This window comes from Homo sapiens, chromosome 3, assembly GCF_000001405.40.
Source record: "Homo sapiens chromosome 3, GRCh38.p14 Primary Assembly".
Taxonomy (NCBI): Eukaryota; Metazoa; Chordata; class Mammalia; order Primates; family Hominidae; genus Homo; species Homo sapiens.
Window position 1 is genome coordinate 107,401,183 of NC_000003.12, and position 21,839 is coordinate 107,423,021.

Here is a 21,839-nt window from a genome sequence, read left to right on the forward strand (position 1 = left end):
GATGCTGAGTATAAAGTAGCCTGATTTGAACTTCGAATTTCCAGAAGGATTTCTTGTTGAAACAGGACGAACTTCTCTCTTAAGGAATTCTATATTTAAATTAAAAGATAAAGGTCATTGCTGGGTGAAGTAAAGTATGGAGGAAAACATCAAATAGCTATATTTGTGCAGTATAAGGAAATATGCAATATATGTATATTGATGCTTGTATATATTATGTATGTATATGTATGTGTGAAGTATGTATGAATATGTATAATTATGTCTGCAGTATGCATGAATGTGCATATGTATATGTATGGCTGTGTATATTATGTATGCATATGTATGTGTGGCAGTATGTACGTCCTGTGGGGAGCCATCCAGATCCACCCTTTATGACCCAGGCATACATTTTGCCAGCTTCAAAGGAGACTGGTTGCAGACTAGTCACAGCTCAGGTCTCTCTGCCAATTGCCACCAGGGAAAGGGAGATGACTTGGTCAAGTTTTTACACCTTGCTGGGAGAAGCCCCTATCCAATGACTAATCAATGCGTAGGTATAAAAACCAGACCCCTTTGCCTCAGTTTGGAACAACTCTAAAGGACTATCCCGGCTCCATAGCCCCTGTGATATGAGCTGTCTTTGTTGCATGAACATTGCTTTCCTCACTACCTCATAGGGGTTGTTCAGGAAAGCACGCCACCATAAACTTCCCAAATATAAATCTCCATCTCAGAGTCTGTTTTCCAGGGAACCCAAACTAAGACACTAGTATTATTTAGTATTACTTATAACAAAATGTTCGTTAACTAATTCATAAATGTTGAAGAGAGATAAATGTGGGATGGAGCCCTGAATTTAGCGAAAGTATTCATTGAGACATACAGGTAAAGAACTAAGATGGTGCTTTATGATTTTGTTAGCCTGATAGCTTTTGTGTCTTCTCTCAGGGCGGATTCCCAGACAACTATCTAAATCATTTTTTTAAAGGCTTTCAATCCAGTTATGTTCATCACACCTTCTAACCACCTAGACTACTACCACCATTGCCTTTCAAAGACAGTAGTTTTGGGGTTGGATGACCCTTTGAGAGTAGAAGAATTTAAATGAAGACCAGGCAGATAACAATGCAAGGAAGGATATTTAAGATGATAAAACAGCATGCCTTTCCAATATACTGATGAATAATGAGTGGTACTTTAGATGAGCTATAGGTGTCAGAGAAATCCAGCAAGCTGTCATCAGGACATGTCAACCATTGAATCTAAGTTGAGAGCAGGCGTCACTTAGAGATCACAGCGGGTAAGCAATTGACATCAAAGACATCCAGAAGCAACACAGTTGTGGAACTGAGGTTCAGAGCTAGGTTCCAACATGGTGCACACGGGAAAGTTCTGGGCTGAAGTTTGGTAGGAATATAAGTGTGTAAAAAAGAGCTACCATTTTACTCTCCCCTAAGTTCCTCAATATTTTGGTTTCCCACTATTTCCTCCATGTATTTCCATCTTAGCAATAATCACCTTTTAAAAAATGTTGACAATTTATAAGTTTTTGAGAATATTCTTATGAGGAGAAACCAGCTTCCACTGCTGCAGATCCAGCTTCTCAGAGACTAGAACATGGGCATAGGCCAGCAGCTTGGTCTCAAACAAGGCAGAGTCTGGTTGCCAAAACTCAGACACAAAGACAGCAAGATTGAATAGATCCTTAATCAAGTTCTAAGAAGCGGATTGATTGGTTGATTTCAGAGCCTAGGGTGGTGCTGAACCTACAGTTAAGGATCAGGAAATCTCAGTTATGAAGAAAGGAAGCACACGATGATAGTGAGCCAGGAATAGCACTGCAGTAGGACGGGGGCAAGACCAGGGATAGTAAGTAACTGTCAAGTAGTAGGGGGAGCCATGGTCTGAATGTTTGCGTTTCTGCACAGATTCACGTGTTGAAAACTAAGCACAAATGTGATGCTATTAGGAGCCTTTGGCAGTGATTAGGAATGGGATTACTGCCCTTATAAAACAGGCCCAGAGAACTGTCTTTCCTGCTTCCACCATGTGAAAACACAGTGAAAAGACACTGTCTATGAGCCAGAGTGGGCCCTCACCACACAATGGATATGCTGGTGCCTTGATCTTGAACTTCCCAACCTCCTGAACTGTGAGCAATAAGCTTCCTTATTTATAAACCATCCAGTCTATGGCAGTTCATTGTATCAGCCCAAACAGACTAAGAAAAGGGGAGAGTGGTATTTCATAAAAGAGAAAATCATTATTGCAAAACAAAAAAAGAAAGAAAGAAACTACAGGTACAGAGGGAAATGAGAATGCATACATTCCACGTAATGCTTGTGAAAAATAACTTTACCCACAAGCATGCAAAGTAGGCCTATTCCTTTACATGTAAACCTCTGAAGGCTTTCATTAAAGATTTAGAATATGTTCTGTACATTTATTCATCAACCTGTGCAGATTTAGCCCCATTAGCTTTTTTCCCTGTGGTTCTGATAAACCCAAAAATCATATCAAACCTAATCTACATTGGTCTAAATGTATCTTAAGAGATCAACTCAGATAATGATGATGTGTTTTATACCTGATAAAACTTGATTGTACATTATCTCACTTGAAGAATGTTATGTACTATTATCATTATTTTATAGATGTGAAAATGGAAGCTATAAGTGATATTATAAGAGGCATCTTGCCAGGAAGTATCAAAGCCAGGACAGAAATAGGTCTCTAGACCTCTAGATTAATTCTCATCACACCATTCTGTAGAAGCTCTTAAACCTAGAACACCAAGACAGAGTCAGATATCCTGTTCATAATGTTCATAAATGTTCATTAAAGGAACATTTTATGACTACCATTATTTACCTGTGACATGACGTTTTCTTCCACTTAGTGGTTTGCTAGACCTAAGCATATGAGGTTACCTTTGGGGGCTCAGGTTCCAACTATAAAAAAGGAGATTTGAATAGACATTTTTATAAGATTCTTTCAGGGTATAAGATCTAACAGGTTTCTTCTCCAGTAAATGATGCACAAACCTTCACCATCTGGTAGCCTGTAGCAGTGTAGATTGTGTGTGTGTGTGTGTGTGTGTGCACCCGCGCGTGTGTGTGTATCTGTTGGCACAAAAGATTTTTCTCTACTGATTACATACAAAAGGTTGCTTTTTAGAAGCAGTTTTCATATTTCTACCAGTTTTCATATGAGCTCTGAGAGGTTCAACTATGTTTATATTAAGTTAATACAACAGGAATTCTCTGCTATTTATTAAGGGATATTTGGTGGTTCAAAACTTGCCTACATTTCTTATCTCCACAGATATTTTTCTTCCTATACATTTTCTCATGTATATTTAGGGGTATACCTAGTTAACTGATGATTTTCTAGTACTAGTTAATTAAGGTTTAACTTTTATGACTGCTAATAATCAGTTACCTGTAATATTGATGCAAACTGTGACATAGAGTTCAAGGAAACTTATTGAGATCTATGCAGGTTTGCATTTACAAATCCAATTGTGTTATAAATGTAATTACTCTTAATTACAATGATATATGTTTACACATATAAACCTATGAAATGTAGAACACTTAGTACATATGGGTTTACAGTTTACAGCTTTCTTTCACATACACCCACAGAACATTTTGTGCAATATTTATGTGACCTTTGAATCATCCTCACTTATTTCTTTGCCTAGGCTATTGAGTGGCTCTGACTGTCATACATTCTTTCCTCTGGTATGTTACAAACACAGCCCACAAACTTTAGAAATATGCCTACCACCCAAAAGATCCAGTCTGATGTTTAACAAAAATCTAAAAATGGAGACTAAGTGACCTCAGTTATGTGAAGTATCTGAAATTTCAAAGTAATTCAACTCTATATGCAGACTAGATCATTTGTCTTTTTTAAAAAGCAGATGTACAAAGAAATCATTTCATTGAATCTCCTTATCTGTTAAGTATCCTTTTCGACAATCATGAAATTTTAGCTTTCTGAAGCTAAAACTGCTGAAAATATGGATTAGGAAAAACTAGGTTGTTTCTGCTTGTTACTCTTTGTTTCTTTTGATGAAAGTGTGTTCCTCCCAGCAAATCACTTAATACAGAGAAGAATGCAAACTCTTAATGTTAAGCGGATGGTCCTAACTGTATGGGGGACTGAGTTCCTGCTCAGCCAGGGATGGAGATTGACTTTCAGTCTACTAATTACTGAGTATGAGAGATTGTACTGCTCAAGCTGACATCATTTTATTTTCATGTGCTCTATTATTCCTGGTGTACATACGTTTGTTTTCAATCCATTTTTTTCCTCTTTTGACCTGTTCTTTTCCAGCCACCACCTACCATTATTTTATATTGTTATTTTCACAGATTCTTTGATCTAATATTCTTATTTCTGAAGACTTGGATATTTATGAAGGAAGTTTTTACTAATAATAATACATTAATCCATGTTTGAGCTTTTTTTTATAAGATGTATTTGTTTAACTATTTACTTAGACAGCCTGCTAATGAATTACTGAAGTTCTACTTTAGTTTATCCTAAATATTGTTTCACAATCTAATTTTTATTTTGTTTCTACTTCACTTTCTTTGATTCTTCTATTAACTTTTCAAATCAATATACAATACTTTAAATTTAGAACAGAATAAAACTGAGTGACAGCAAGATCAGTACCATATACGTATACTGTGCTCTAAAAAGTCAAATAACCACATAGCTTCATTTCATAGAATAATTACACTATAAAGTAATATTCTGTCAACAGAAGGGATAAAAATAGTCCATTTATAAGTCCAAATGATCATCTGCCTAGGGCCCATTTTGTAAGGTCTTAAAATATAAAAACAAATCTTTTAATATCTTTCTGAAAACCAAAACTAGTATATAAGTTAATTACTCATTTACATAGGCATTTGAACACATCTAAAAGCTCAAAACATAATAAGACAGAAATAAATGGCTTTTATCGTGTCATAAAGATAGAATTATTTTACTGCTTTACTTAGTCGCTACTAAAATGAATTTCTCTATTATGTCATAAACTGGGCCAAGACACCATTATGGTGTATATGTATACATATATATATATATGTATACATATATATATGTATACATATATATATATGTATACATATATATATATATGTATACATATATATGTATATATATATACATATATATATGAATGAGCTGCCATTTTAAATTAATTCTCCTACAGAGAATGCCTCAGAAATTTGTGGGAAATCCTTGAAGAATCAAACCATTTTAAAAATAAAAAATAATGAATAGGGACTTAATCCTTTAAGCAAAATTGAAGTTATAGAAATTGCAGGGATTTTTTTCTGACTAAATTTTTTTCTTTTCTTTTCTTTTTTTTTTTGAGACCGAGTTTCACTCTTGTTGCCCAGGCTGGAGTGCAATGGCTCTATTTCGGCTCACTGCAACCTCCGCCTCCCGGGTTCAAGCGATTCTCCTGCCTCAGCCTCCCAAGTAGCTGGGATTACAGGCATGGACCACCATGTCCAGCCAATTTTGTATTTTTAGTAGAGACGAGGTTTCTCCATGTTGCCCAGGCTAGTCTCAAACTCCCAACCTCAGGTGATCCGCCCGCCTCAGCCTCCCAAAGTGCTGGGATTACAGGCGTGAGCCACAGCGCCCGGCCTGACCAAAATATTTTAAGAGACTTTTTGATTTGAGAAATTATATTATTAGGAATTGCTGCATTTATTTTAAAATAGTAAATAAAATTGAGATATTTATTTAGAAGAAAATATCCTTTCTATATATTTCTGAAAAATGAACTGACAGATGCTGCTGGGCATATGAACTTAGGGTTTACATGAATCTAAAAGGCAAATACCTCCAACTGTTCTAAAAACATGGTTCTGAAAACATTTTACCATAAATTGTATTTGTCTGTCAAAGTCCAGCAAACAGAACAAGACATAACTTAAGCCAAATTAAGCCTTTAAATAAGATCCCATGGACATCCGAACACAGGATATTGCTGAAGTAAAGGATTCAGTGTAACATCCCATCTCCCCATTTGCTCCTTCTCAACCCTCATGGAATTTAATCTGGTTAGTTGGCAATTCCCCATATATATGTAAACATAATCTAATTTCAGACCTCCAAGGCCTAATCCCTGATAATCAGAGAAGACAGACTTAAATTTTACTTCCTAAAATGACTCTGGACAGAATCATAGGTTTATAAGCAGCTGTGGCCTATGCATAGAATAGAGATATAATTTATCACCAAACCAAGCTATTTTTGAGAGTGTAAAGGGGCTCAGTATAGTTACTGTATTAGTTACCTATTATTTCTGTACACAAATTTAGTGACTTAAAACACCACAAATGTATTATCTTACAGTTCTAGAGGTCAGAAGTCCAAAACGAGTTTCACTAGGCCAAAGTTAAGGTGCCTGGAAGACTAGCTTCTTCTGAAGCCTGTAAAGGGAGAAACTGTTCTCTTGCCTTTTTCAGCTTCTAGAAGCTATCTGCTTATCTAGGCTCATGGCTTCTTCTCATATCACTCCAACCTCATGCGTCTACTATCACATTCCATTATCACATCTCCCTCTACTAACTCTGATCTGCCTGCCCCTTTTCATAAGTACTCTTGTGATTACATTGGGCCCACCTAGTTAATCCTGGATAATCTCCCCATCTCAAGACCCTAAATTAATCACATCTGTACTTTCCCTTATACTATGTAAGGTACAAATTTATAGGTTCCAGGGATTAAGATGTGGACATCTTTGAAGGACATTACTCAGCCGATCACAGTTAACATAGGCAAGAGGTATAAACTAGGATTATAAACTGGGACTATCCCAACATGACTGAAACATTAGGTCACCCCTTCAAATGAGAGATCAGAAGAGATATCAGCAAGATGGTAAAGATTTTAGCCTTTGCACCCCTACAAAAAAAAAAAAAAAAACAACCATTAGACAGCTATTCATGAAGAAAAATAGCTCTGGGGATGCTCAGGAGCCCAGTTAAGAAGCTGCAGCAACACAGTGGAGTAAAATACCTGAGAAAAAAGGCACAAAATGGGTAGGAAAAACAGTTTCACTTTGCCTGTATCATCCCATCTCTGTGGATGATACACTGAGAGGAAACTCCCAGGCCACGAGTCCTCCTCCCAGGGAAAGGGAGAGTAAGGGGAACAACCAGTTTCCCTAGACTTTTGGGGAACTGCCTGCAGGACCCACTGTGTTTCACCTCACCCAGCCTTCACCACTGAGGACCTCAGTAGCCCTCACAACTGTTGCAGAGTCCCTACAGCTTTCACCACTGAGGATCCACAATATTTGTTGTAATGAATCTCAGTGGCCTGCTTCACAGAAGATCCTGGCAGCTTTTGCCACCAAGGGCTTACAGTTGTTTGTCTTTGCAGACTCCAGCTGCCTGAGCTGCCACACCACTCACCCTGCCAGAGCTGCCCCCACTTCTGCATGTGTGCCCACCGCCAACCCCTGCAGCTGCATGTGTGCATGATGCCAGCCCCAGCCTCCAAAGCTTCGCATGCACATGCATCTGGCCCGCACAGCCACGCATGCACTGCACTTGGACCAACCCTTGCCACTGGCAGCAGCCCTCACCATCATGTATTTGCCTGCAGCCAGCCCCTGCCACCAGTGCATGTGCCTTTAGCTGGCCCCAACAGTTGGTCCCTGTAGCCAAGTGGATGCATATCATTGTCCGCAGTCCCCACCACTGCTTTCCCTGGTCCCTTGCTGCTGTGCCTAGAGGCGCTGTTGACTCCAACAGCCTTCACAGCCACTGTGAACCAGCCCCCTCATAGCTCTTGCCACCAAGAAGCATGCAAGTGCCAATGTCAGAGGGGCAGCTGCTTGCACCATCCAGACACCATGCCCCCAAAAGCCAGAGCCACTGTATGCCCCCACATTTGGTGCTATGTGTCTCTAGATCCAGTGCCACTAAACCTAGTGCCAAAGCATATTTCAGTGTTCCCTTACCCCAATAGGCAAAGGTCTGTCCTTACCAAATCCAGTCCATAAAGCCTGGAAGAGGTAGTTGCCTCTTCAAATATGCAGACACCTAAAAAAAAAGCTACAAGAATCATAAAGAATCAAGGACACATGACACCACCAAAATAATACGATACACTTCCAATAACCAACCCCAAAATATGGAGGTCCAGGAAGTGCCTGACAAATAATTCAAAATAATTGTTCTAAAGAAGCTCAATGAGATACAAGAGAACACAGATAAATGATTTAACAATATCAAGAAAACAATACAAGAACAAAATTAGATATAAAGAAATATAAAACACAAGAAAGAACCAAACAAATTTTGGAACTGAAGAATACAATGACTGAACTAAAAATGCAATAGAGAGCTTCAACAGCAGGCTCAATCGAGCAGAAGAAAGAATCAGCAAACTCAAAGACAGGACACTTAAAATTACTCAGAGGGAAAAAAAGAAAAAAGAATGAAAAGTAATGAAGTAACCTTATGGGATTTACGTGACACCATCAAGGGAGCTAACATACACATAATGGGAGTTCCAAACAAAAAGAAAGGAGGAAGGGACAAAAAGCTTATTTAAAGAAAATAATGGCTGAAAACTTCCCAAATCTGAGGAGAGATATAGACATCCAGGAACATGAAGCTGAAAGCATCCCAAACAGATTCAACCCATGAAGGCTTCAGTGAGACACATTATAATCAAACTGTCAAAAATAAAATATAAATAACTTTGAAAACAAGAGAAAACAGATTTGTTCCATATGAGGGAACTCCTATAAGACCATCCAGGAATTTCTCAGCAAAAACCTTGAAAGTCAGGAGAGTGGGATAATATATACAAAGTGCAGAAAGAAAAAACCTGACAACCAAGAACACTCTACCCACAAATCTGCCCTTCAGAAATGAGGGAGAGATAAACACTTTCCCAGACAAACAAAAGCTGAAGGAGTTCATTGCCACTAGATTTGCCTTACAAGAAATGCTAAAAGGAGTTCCACAAGCTAAAACAAAAGAATTTTAATAATATAGGAAACATGTGAAAACATAAAACTCATCAGTAAAGGTAAATATATAGTCAAATTCCAATTACTCTAATATTGTAATGAGGGTGTGTAAATCACTTATAACTCAAGTACAAAGGTTAAAAGACAAAATATTAAAAAGAGCTGTAACTACAATAATTTGTTAATGAATATACAATATAAAATTATGTAAATTGTGACATCAAAAACAAAATGTGGGTGAGTAAATGTGCAGAGCTCTTGCATGTAATTGAAGTTAAGTTGTTATCTCAAAATAGAATAATATAATTATAAGGTGTTTTATGTAAGCCTTATGATAACCACAAAACAAAAACCTATAGTAGATACACAAAAGACAAAGAGAAAGGAATCAAAGCTTACCGGTATAGAAAAGTATCAAATCACAAAGGAAGATAGAAGAGATGAAGAAGGGAAAAAGAATACACAAAACATGCAGAAAAACAACAAAATGTCAGTAGTAAGTCCTTACCTATCAATAATGACTTTAAATGTAATGAGAGTTCAGAGACAGAATAGACAGGACGCAATAACTATTGCCAGCTTTTCCCCACATTCTTGCTCAATGCCATTTCCAAGTCCTGGAATGCTCTCCCTCTTCCAATCCATAATACCATCTCTGCTATTTGAAATACTTCCTATTGTTCAAGACCCATTCCTAAAGGCACCTCCACCATGAAAAATACCCAGCTCAGAGTAATTCCTCCATTCTCTGCTTTCTTTTCAGCATGGATTTATATAATCTCCTACTATACTTACCACAAACTGCTCAATTTAATGTAAATATATTTGTGAATTTGTCTTTTCTCCCCTACCAGAAATAAGTTCTTATTATTAAGGCAGATCTAGTGGCATTACTTTTAATGGTGAAAACTGCAATTACTTTTGAACTAACCTAATAATAGGAACATACTCTAGGCCAAAAGATAGCTGCAAGCATTTAATACCTGCAATGAAAACATGTCTGCAACCATTTTTAGGCCAATATCTGTTAGTGCAGCCTCTCCAAGCCAAATTCCTATCAGCTTATCATGCCAGCCAGCCAAATGCAGGAGTCACTTGACACACTGGACAACTGAAGAGAACTTTCTACATCCTAAAAAGAACAATATTTCACTAGAAACTTCCTTCAGACTGGGTTAAATCCAACATTTTGATGCACCTATGTCTATTAACCAAGATGATTTTTATCAATAGGATGCTGCCACCCACATCTGCTTATCCTGGTTATTCATTACAGAAACAAAAAATCACTTTGGATAGTGTTTAACTGTAAACTAAGCACGTTTAGATGTTCATCAACAATTAAAACTCAGCAGCATTGTTTCTGTATTTTTTTAATTAATAGCAGAAGATGATAACACTGAAGTATTTTTTATCAAGGGAAAAATACACACTGCTAGAATCCCATTTAGTCTGTTATTTCTCTAGAAATTGTATGTAATAGTGGGGTGATATTGAAATCCACAAGAAGTTATGTTTATTTAGTGGACCCTAACCAAGAAAGTTTATATACTGAAACAATGGCCCTCAGTGCATTTGCTTCACCAGAAGCCCCCATAGCACAGACTCCCAGTACTTTTCAGCATGATTTTAGTGTAGCAGAAACTGAGAGAGAGAGAATAGTAGACATTGTAGAATTCCTTGTTAGGCAAAAACCTTGGAAGTCATTCTGACCACTTTTTTTTTCTTTCATTATTAGTCCTACGTTCATTCACAACCCAGGGAAGGAAAGGCCAAAAATAGCCTCCAAACCATTGTGAAGCAGCTGTCTTTGGTGCGTGAAGGCAAGCAGACATTTGGAAGTCCAAGTTTAGATAGTAAACAGAGGCTATATTGAAACAGTAATCATGCTAATTAATCATCATTTTGTTAGCAAATGTGCTGCACTTTGTATTTTCAAAGCATTGTATCATCATTAATTAATCAGCTGTAATCACTATTGCAGTGGCAAATCAAATTATGTACAAGACTTGAAAAGAAATTGTTTCATATGGAGTGCACTTAAAAAGTGCAAGTCTTTTTCTTTCTGTTTTTGTTTTTTATTTATTTGTTTGTTTCTCCATCGAACAGGCTGTGCCATATTCTCTTTCACTTTTCTGCCCTAGCTTATGCTGTTCCTTCTACCTAGATCACAGATAACTCCTGTTCCTTTGTTAGATATCATCATAAGCAACACTTTTTTCTAGAGACAGTTCTCCAGGCCTGCTAAGCTATTTTAGAGACTCCTATAGTCCTTTTTCGTAGAAACTTTTACCCTCTGTTAAATTGCCTGTCTAGTTGTTTGTTACTCATGCTAGGCTGCAGGTTCTGTGAGGAAGAGGCCACAGATGACTTGTTCATCATTGCATCCCTGGCGTGGTGCCTGACACTTGGTAGTCACCCAAAACGTGTGTTTTTTAAATGGAAAAAAAAAAGAATCCTCCATGAGAGAGAGCTAATAAAAGGCAGTTATTGTTAACATGAGCTCTCAGTACAAATCAATCTACTCAGCACTCCAGATGCTCTATCTCATTTAATGCTCACTGTGTTCCTTTGAGGTAGGTACCATATAGGTAATTGAAGTGACAGAGAGTAAATCATTTGCCCATGATCACACTGAAAGTAAATAACGAAATTGAAGTTGCATCATAGATTTCTCTGATTTCAACCCTACATGTCTATGAAAGTGATGAACAAGAAAATAGCAGGCCCTAAATCCAGAAACTAATCTGACACAACCAGGTCTCAGTGTTATCACAAACTGGACCAATGCTAGTGGGTAGGCCATATTGTTGCTCTGTTGAACATTAGCAATCTCACAAAACAGCAGCATGAGACAAAGCCACTCTGAGACCATGATAAAGTGAAACAAAATATTAATAAGTCCACTTCATTATTTTATCTAAGCACACATCAAAATAAGGCCACTGTAGAAACCCCACAAAATACCAAACATCTCTTTCTCCTAGCTAATATGAGTCCCTGTTGCTTCTTTACTAATTATAGCTTTACCCTTGCTCTAATCTGCGATATGGTTTGGATCTTTGTTCTCACCCAAATTTCATGTTGAATTGTAATCCCTCGCCATGCTAGAGGTGGGGCCTAGTGGGAGGTGTGTAGATCATAGGGGTGGAGGCTTCATGGCTAGGTGCTGTTTTCCTGATAGCGAGTTCTCGTGAGATCTGGTCATTTAAAATTGTGTGAAACCTCCCAGACACAACTCTCTCTCACTTGCTCCTGCTTTCACCATGTGACATGCCTGCCCCCCTGTTGCCTTCCGCCATAATTACAAGCTTACTAAGGCCTCCCTAGAAGCCCAGCGGATGCCAGCACCATGCTTCTGGTAAAGCCTGCAGAACCGTGAGCCAATTAAACCTCTTTTCTTTATAAATTACCAAGTCTCAGATACTTCTCTTTTTTTGAGACAGAGTCTTGCTCTGTTGCCCAGGCTAGAGTGCAGTGGCACAACATGGGCTCACTGCAGCCTCTGCCTCCAGGGCTCAAGTGATTCTCCTGCCTCAGCCTCTCGAGTAGCTGGGACTACAGGCATGCGCCACCACACCGGGCTAATTTTTTTTGTATTTTTAGTAGAGACTGGGTTTCACCATATTGGCCAGGATGGTCTCAAACTCCTGACCTCAAGTGATCCGCCCACCTCGGCCTCCCAAAGTGCTGGGATTACAGGTGTGAGACACCACGCCCAGCCTTCAGATATTTCTTTACAGTAATGCAAGAATGGTCTAATACACCTGCCTTCTTTATAAATAAGGTTTATTGAGATACCCAATCATAGAATTTCCTTCACTTCCTGACAGCAGTTATGCAGAATAAATTGTTTCCCTAGACTCTTTTCAAAATCACCCATTCAAAGCCCCAGTTCTTTAATACACCTTTCTTAACATCCTCTTACTGAAACAGTTCCCTTGGCATGATTTTTGTCTTGCTGCAGTGAGAAATAAACTCAACTTTTTCAGCTACAGGTGGGTTTCTGGCTAGAGGGTATTGACATTGGGTTAATACAAAAGCACCTATTAGGCTGGAGAAAGAAAACGTGAGAACTTTTAATTATAAATTTTTGTTTTGAAAAATCAGAAAAATAATCTTAACCAATATTTAATACAGTATATACACATGGTTCCCTTTCTTCATCCTTCCCTCTGTGAGATGGCCACATGACAAATTAGGTACACAACATAACTAGAGGGTCACAGAAGGACAAATACTGTACAATTCCACTTACATGCAATATCTAGCAGACAAAATCATAGAAACAGAAAGTTGAATGGTGGTTTCCTGTGACTGAGGGGAGGGAAAAATAAGCAGTTGTTTGATGGGTATAGAGTTTCAGTTTTACAAGATCAAAATGTCCTACAGAACTGTTATACAACAAATGAATATATAGTTCATACCACTGAACTGTGCACTTTGAATGATTAAGAGAATATATTTTATATTATGTGTTTTCTGTCATGATTTAAAAAAAAAAAACTAGAGGGAAGAGTGAGTGTTCTACTGGAGGATTTGACATGGCAGCCATAGTCTTTAGTTCACTTCCTGGACACTGCAACATACTGCAGGTGACATTGTCCCCAGCAACAAAGTTTGTATCTTATGTAATTAGTCACTGATAATATACCTTAGTAACTAAAACTTGAACCATGTTATGAGGGTACTGGTACTATTTATTAAACCATGGTAACTGAAATTCATTTGACAGACTTTGTCTCTCATTTATGTTTTTCTCGAAGAATATAATGGTATATGCCATGTTAAAAAAATAGATGAGAAGGACAAAATCCCTCACTTCAACAAGTTTATAGTTTAATGGGTGTCAATAAAATACATAAATTCTGTAATCTGATAAACATAATGATCAAAAATAATGTACAAGTTTATAGGTGAGTGAAATTACCCTTAGTCAAAGGATCAAAAAGATAATGAAGCTAATGGCATGGAAGACAAACATTTTCAAAGTTATTCCTGTGGTTTCATGGCTTTCTATTGACAGGATCACATTTTTACTTGGTTTTTCCTATTTCCCAGATGTTAGTTGTTTTGCTGTTTTAAATAGTGTTATGATGAATAACTTTGTAATTGCAATAACTTTGAAGTGGAATACCTAGACAAATGGGCATGGAGATTTTTAAAGCTGTTGGTGCATACTACTGGTCTTAAAATGTTTAATGCCATTAGCTTTTATGATCTTTGTCTTCATTCCTCAATCAAAACTAATTTTACTCACCTATGAGTTTTCATAGCATCTTTGATCCTTATGTCCATTGAGTTATATTATTCTATGCATAAAAGTGTGGAAACAATACTTATAAGGTATTAGGGACCTATTTTTCTGGGGAGCCAAAATTGGGAAAATAGCATGCATTGCTTACTGAATGCCAACAATCAGAGCTGTCTCAGAGAACAAGAGTCTCTCCAAAAAATATTTTCTGAGCTTTCAGGAATTATAATCCATGTGGAAAAGTTAACCATATTGGTGAAATATTTAATAGTTTAGGAACATTTTGTACTTTGATAGCTTCAGAACAAAACCTCTTTGTGACTATTCAAACAAAGAAAATTTTTTTTAAAATGTAGTCAACTTGTGCTTGTCTTCCTTCTACCACCAAACTGGGTTCAGTGCCACTAACAGTAAGGGCTCTAGAGAAGAGTCAGGGGATAAATGAGGTAGGAGTGAATTTTGTTCATGTTTGGTATTATGTCTACATAAACATTTCATAATGCCTTTGAAACCATACACAAATAGTGAGTGATTTAAAAATTAGAATTTTGCTTATCTCAGGTTTTACATACCAACATGAAGCTAGAATTACTCTGTACTTCTTTCATGCTTATTCTGCTCTATTTCAGGAGAATGTAAAAATTATATTTCATTAATATTTTTATCCAAAAGGTTTCCAAAGCATTAGGTACAAAAATCAGATGAATATATGGACATTGCCTCAATTTTTCTGCATAGCAGGCTCACATCTGTGATTAAAAAGTAAAGAACTGGAGACTTTCCGTTTCTAGTCTGGCCTGTGAAGAACTTAGAAGTTGTCACACTTCCTAACAAGAGGCAAAAAGCTGAACAACCTGAAAAATCAACAGCACTTAGCGCTGTCAGAGAAGTGAGGTCACAGGGCAAACCACTGCCCCAAACTTGAAGAGAGCAACAAGCAAATACAGAGAATTGGAATTTACCACAGCAGAAACCCCAGGGGCAGGTTAGAAAACTTCAGCCTAAACTAGTAGCAGAGCGGGAAAACTTGAACTTCTAGAGGCTGAGTGAGAACCAGCCTGAGACCTTACAATTTTAGGAGGACCCAGGCATAGGGGATCCCTCATGCTTTGTGAATTTTACCTCTGGGAACTCTACCATGTCCATGTCCTGATAGTGAATAATGGAGAAAAATCTCCCTATGCTTCTGGCGAGGGAATGAAAAAAGAATCTATCTGTTCTTTTTAACAAGTCCTGTCCTCAGGACCAGAAGCTAACCTGCTAGAGTTTTATCAGAGCCCAACCTGCGCAGGGGAAGGGAAATATCCAATGCCAGCCCTCTGTAGCCATCCTGTCCAGCCTAATAGGGGAAATAGCATTGAGAAGCACTGGCGAAGTACAGGCCTACAGAAACACTGAGACCTAATCATAGGATACAGAATGCTTTTCTTCCTTCATACCTTAAACTACACCACTAAAGGCCTAGTTATTAGAGCTTCTTTTACATATATACCATGTATGATTTCAACAAAAAATTATAAGGCATACAATACAGAATATAAAAATTAAAAGGCAAACAACACAGTTTAGAGAGACAGAGCAAGCATTAGAACCAGAGTCAGCTATGACAGGTATGTTGCAATTATCCAACCAGGAATGCAAAACAACTATGATTAATATGCTAAGGGCTCTACTGGAAGAAGTACACAACATGCAAGAACAGATAGTGCAGAGAGATGGAAATTCTAAGAAAGAATCAAAAGAAAGCCTAGAGGTCAAAAACACTTACAAATGAAGAATGCCTTTGATGGACTCATTAGTAGATTGGACACAACTGAGGAAAGAACCTCTGAGCTTAAAGATATGAATAGACATTTCCAAAACTTAAAAGTGAAGAGAAAAATAAAATTGAAAAAAAAAGAGAACAAAATATCCAAGAACTCTGGGACAACTAAAAAAGATATACCATGAACGTAATAGGAATGCCAGAAGAAAAAGACATAAAGAAAGGGGAAGAAGCAATATTTAAAGCAATAACGACTGGGAATTTCCTCCAAATTAATGTCAGACAGCAAACCACAGATACAGAAAACTCAAAAGATCAGCGAGCAGGATAAATGCAAAAAAGCAAAACAGAAAAACAAAATGAAAACCCCTACACCGAGGCATACCATATTCAAACTTCAGAAACAAAAAAAAAATTTTTTGGAAAGAAGGCAGAAGAAAATAAAAAGCACCTTACTTACAAAGGAACAAAGATAAGAATTACATCCAACTTCTTCCCAGAAGCCAGGCAAGCAAGAAGAGAGTGGCGTGAAATACTTAAAGTGTTGAGAGAAAAAAAGAACACCAACCTAGAATTTTGTACGCCATGAAATTATCCTCTAAAAGTGGAAGAGAAATAAAGACTTTCTCAGACAAACAAAAATTGAGGGCCTTTGTTGCCAGTAGACTGAGAAATGTTAAAATAAGTTGTTCAGAAAGAAGGAAAATGATATAGACTAGAAACTCAGATCTACGTAAAGAAAAGAAGAGCGTCAGAGACTGAATGAAGGTGAAATAAAAACTTATTTTTCTTATTCTTACTTGGTCTAACAGATAATACTTTCTTCAAAATAATAGCAACAATGCATTTGATTATATATGCTTATGTATAAATGAAATGAATAACAGCAATGATACAAAAGGAAGGGAGGAAATAATTATACATTTTTAAAAGCCCATAGAATGTACAACACCAAGAGTGAACTCTAATATAAACTATGAGCTTTGTGCATGTGTGGGGACAGGAGGTAAACGGGAACTCTACACTTTCCTCTCAATTTTGCTATGAACCTAAAACTGCTTTTAAAAATAAAGTTGGCCTGGCGCGGTGGCTCACACCTGAAATCACAGCACTTTGGGAGGCCGAGGCAGGCGGATCACCTGAGGTCGGGAGTTTGAGATCAGCCTGATCAACATGGAGAAACCCCGTCTCTCCTAAAAATACAAAATTAGCTAGGTGTGGTGGCAAGTGCCTGTAATCTCAGCTACTCGGCAGGCTGAGGCAGGAGAATTGCTTGAACCCAGGAGGTGGAGGTTGCGGTGAGCCGAGATCGCACCATTGCACTCCAGCCTGGGCAACTAGAGCGAAACTCTGTCTCAAAAAAAAAGAAAAAAAAAAATTTAAAAAAAATTTTAAATAAATAAATAAATATAAAGTTTAATAATTTTTTAAAGCCCAGCACACTGAGATGTACTGTACACCTACACAATGAATAAAAGCAGAAAGTGACATCACCAAGTGTTGGTGGGATGCAGAGCAACAAGAACTCTCAAATTTTACTGACAGATAAATGGTATCCCTTGCAATAATGCTAAGCAGTTTTTTACAGTTAAACATACATCTACTTGAAATAGCAACTCAACTCCTGTATCTTATCATAGAGAAATGAAAACATATTACTGTAATAAAAGAGTTGCACAAGAATGTTCATAACAAATTTATTCACAATAGCCAAAGAATGGAAACAATCTAAATGTCCATCAACAGGAGAATGAATAAACAAATTACAGTATATAAATACAAAAGAATACTACGTAGCAATAAGAATGAACTACTGATACATAGAACAACATAGATGAGTCTTATAGGCAAAATTCTGAGCAAAAGTAGCAAAATGCTAAGAAAAATAATTTTCTGATACATATTAATTTCCCTAATCATATGTTATCAGGAAATTGCATATTAAAACAAGATGCGACTACATACCTATTAGGATGACGAAAATCCAAAACACTAACAACAAATGCAGGCAAGGATGTTAAAGCAACAAGAATTCTCATTCATTGCTGGTGGAATGCAAAATGGCACAGTCACTTCGGAAGACAGTTTGGCAGTTTCTTACAAAACTAAACATACACTTACCATAAAATTCAGCATTTGCACTTCATTGTATTTACCCAAATGAACTAGAAACTTATGTCCACCCTAAAAGCTTCACACAGATGTTTTTAGCAGCTTTATTCATAATTATCAAAACTTGGAAGCAGCCAAGATCTCCTTCAGTAGTAAAGAAACTGTGGTGTATTCATACAATGGAGTATTAGTCAGCACTAAAAAGAAATAAGTTATCAGGGCATGAAGACATGGAAGAAACAAATGCATATTACTAAGTGAAAGAAGCCAATCTGAAAAGGGTTCATACTCCAACTACATGACATTCTTGAAAAGGCAAAACTATAGAGACAGTAAAAAAAAAAAAAATAGTGGCTGCCAGAAGTTAGAGGGCAAAGAGGGAAGGAAAGACAGAGCCCAGAAGTTATTTAGGGCAGCAAAACTATTCCATATGATACTACAATGGTGAACACATGTCATTAAACATTTGTCAAAACCCATAAAGTGTACAGCACCAAGAGTAAACCATACTGTAAACTAGTGACTTTGGGTAATAATGTGTCAATGCAGGCTCATTGATTGGAACAAATGTACCACCTTGGTGCCAGATGTTGACAGCAGGGGAGGTTGTGGATGTTTGGGGACAGGAGGTATATGGGAATTCCCTGTACTTTTTGCTCAATTTTGCTGTGAATCTAAAACTTCTCTGTATTAAAAAAAAAAAAGTAAAGAATTGAATGTTTTTTTTTTTGAAAAGAGTAGCTGTGAATCTAGTAGACATTGACAGTATAATGTAAAAAAGAAGAGAAAAGATAGAGTTCAGTGAATACCTATGATGCAAGAATAGAGAGTTTTAGTTCACTAGCTAGTGGGATGTATAAGAAAATATCCCTAAGGTGTCTATAAATGTAGAGATTGACATTTTGAAAAACCAGCAAAAACTTTGTGGGACTTCACTCATAAATGGAATGTCAACATAAATTGGCACAATTTATATAGCTAGCACAGAAAGGAGAATTTTGTCACTGAATTTATGAAAAACCTGAAGGATAAATATTTTATTTTCAAGATAATTTTTAAGGATATTATAAACTGAATAAAATATCATGTTGCTACTACTATAAGAACAAGTTTATCTCCATTATCGGTGACAACTTTCAGAGGACTACAAATCCAGTGTCGCTTGGGGCTCTGTAGTTTCTAGTTCCTTTGGAAGAACTATAATACAGATATTTTCAGCAAACAGACAGTACCACAAATCAGCCAGCCTATTTTAATATGTCCTTGTCCAATCAAAGTAAATGATGAATTAACCAGAAACATCAACACTGTTAATGTTTATTGGTTATTTAAAATATCATAATAAACTAAGTAACACAACCAGTTTGAAACTCACTTTTTAGATAAGTTTTGTTCATCTGTATTTACTTTTGTTTATGTTTCTTTATTTCCCCATGTTAGTTAATTAACACATATATACATAGACGTCTACACATTCTCCTCCCAGAATTTGCAGCTTAACACGTATAAAAGTCATTTTCTTTTGATTGTTAATATGGTATTTGTTCCAAAATCTGTTAATGCTCTCATTTCTTCTGGCAATGTGTTAATTGCTAACAAAAATAAGGTTTTGTTTCCATAGTCATTACATCTACAAACACTTAGAAAATTTTGTTTGTCTCTTAAGAAAAGTAACAGTACAAATGAAATGGTCACTCACCAATTAAAGATGGTAGCTGACAACCATAAAACACATTATTCTGTTTCTTGCCTCTGTATATGCTACTTTACATTAAATTCTAAATTTAATAAAATATTTCATTTATCTCTCTCTCCAATGTCACCAAAATTTTCCCCCCATATCTGAGAGACTAAAATGCAACCTTACTTGCCTGAGTCCTTATCCTAAGTAGTCACTGTCCAGTAAGCAGGTAGCATGTGTCCCTACAGGCACACGATTCAAACCAAGAAATAGAAAAGTCTTGAAAAAACTTTCACATTCAAAAGCGGCACCTTTGTTGATCTCCGAGAGCTCTGGTACAGTTCCTCAGCTTGTTGTCAGTTTTTGTCACTAAAATACTGCCACCTTCAGGAAGAAATGTAGGAATCTGCAATTGCATTAGTGAGGGAATCTGACTGAGAACCCTTAAATCCAAATTCCACACGGCCCTTTATTAAAGCATAGCTATAATGTATCCTAAGTTATTTTTTCTATAAAACTAAATATTAGTAATCTATTTTAGTAGATTTTTTCCTTAATAGCTTTTTTTTTCCTGAATAGCTAGACATTACAGTGAAAAGCTGCCCAGAAATAACAAATGAAGATAATTCACTATTATAGATAAAAGTAAAACTTCTTCAGTAAGACCAGGGATTCTCAGGTATTAAATTACAAAACATGAAGAACAAGTTACAAAATATTTTCTATACTCAAATAATGAAATATATATATAGAAAATATTGGTACAGTGTTTTAAGAAATAATTCCATGACCCATTTATACATTTTACAAGAAATATATCTCTTTAAATCCTCTTTGACGATGCTAAAATAGGATTTTTTCCCCTTTACCTTCTAGGTCCTCTTTCATTTATCAGTTAACATAAAAATTAAAAGTAACTTTGTGCCAGCTTTCTAGTGTTTGAATTGAATATTTCAGTTTACATCAAGAATGTTCTCGTTCTCTCTCTTTCTTTCTCCTGCTTTAAAAAAAATTTCTAGAAGTTCAGCTCTCTATTTCATAATCTGCTCTTGGTCTAATGTTATTTCATTTCCTTTCACTTATTCTTTCCCTTATCTTCTTTTCTATCTTCTCCTCTTCATTGGTTTATTTTTACTTAATTTAGAAAGTCCATTGTAATTAGCCAATTTCTTTTATGTCCTATAAGCAATATATACAGAGCCCTCTTTCTGTTTTCCCTTTATTTAAAATCCATTCCCTATTCAGACAATGCCAACAAGTACTTTTCATAAACAGTTTTTTTTAAAAAATATATGATTATTGTGAAATGTCACAAATATTTTACAAAACACTAATCATAGAGTCTGACTGGAAAGGACACATACACAAAGCCTTCTCTTATTTTAATCCTCAAAGCAGTTTGTCAGATCGCCCCAGGTTAATTTCAAAATTGAACAAATTAAAATTTCAATGTGATAACTTTGGGAAGAAGGAGGAACTTTACAAAATAATTTTGATATTCCCCTAAAGGAATTGAGTGAAGACAATAACCACTACAAATCAAGTTTCTGGAAAAAGAAGATTATTAAAAGAGGAGGTATACTATCAGAGATTAATAATAATTAAAACTATGTGGAATCAGTGTCTGAAAACAAGAACATATGAACGGAGTGCAAAAGGACCCTAGTATAGCTAAGAATTTAGCAAGCATTAAAGTGAGGGCAGATTGCTTATTTTTAAAATGATGTTAGAACAATTGGTCAACTATTTGAAAAAAAATTATAACTTCTACTTCATAAATACACCAAAATGAAATAAATCCAGAAAAAGTAGAGTGAGCCATTTGAAAATTAAGGTCTATTTTAAAACACAAATGAATACTTATTTGATTACAACATAGATAAGGAAGAATCAATAAAAAGATTGATAAGTGGATTAACCTAAAAATTAAAAGCATCTCTGTTTAAAACACCATAAATATAATTAAAAGGCAAATGGTAACTTGGAAAAAATATTTTGGACATTAATGGCAGCTAAA

General features: G+C 36.4%; 2 annotated features.

Moving 5' to 3' along the window:
* Positions 7,121–7,621: an enhancer, noted in NCBI's record as "H3K4me1 hESC enhancer chr3:107127150-107127650 (GRCh37/hg19 assembly coordinates)". NCBI's record gives its function as "activates a minimal SCP1, AML or CMV promoter by ChIP-STARR-seq in primed H9 embryonic stem cells {active_cell/tissue: H9 hESC(primed)}" and the evidence as "EXISTENCE:reporter gene assay evidence [ECO:0000049][PMID:30033119]".
* Positions 7,622–8,122: an enhancer, noted in NCBI's record as "H3K4me1 hESC enhancer chr3:107127651-107128151 (GRCh37/hg19 assembly coordinates)". NCBI's record gives its function as "activates a minimal SCP1, AML or CMV promoter by ChIP-STARR-seq in primed H9 embryonic stem cells {active_cell/tissue: H9 hESC(primed)}" and the evidence as "EXISTENCE:reporter gene assay evidence [ECO:0000049][PMID:30033119]".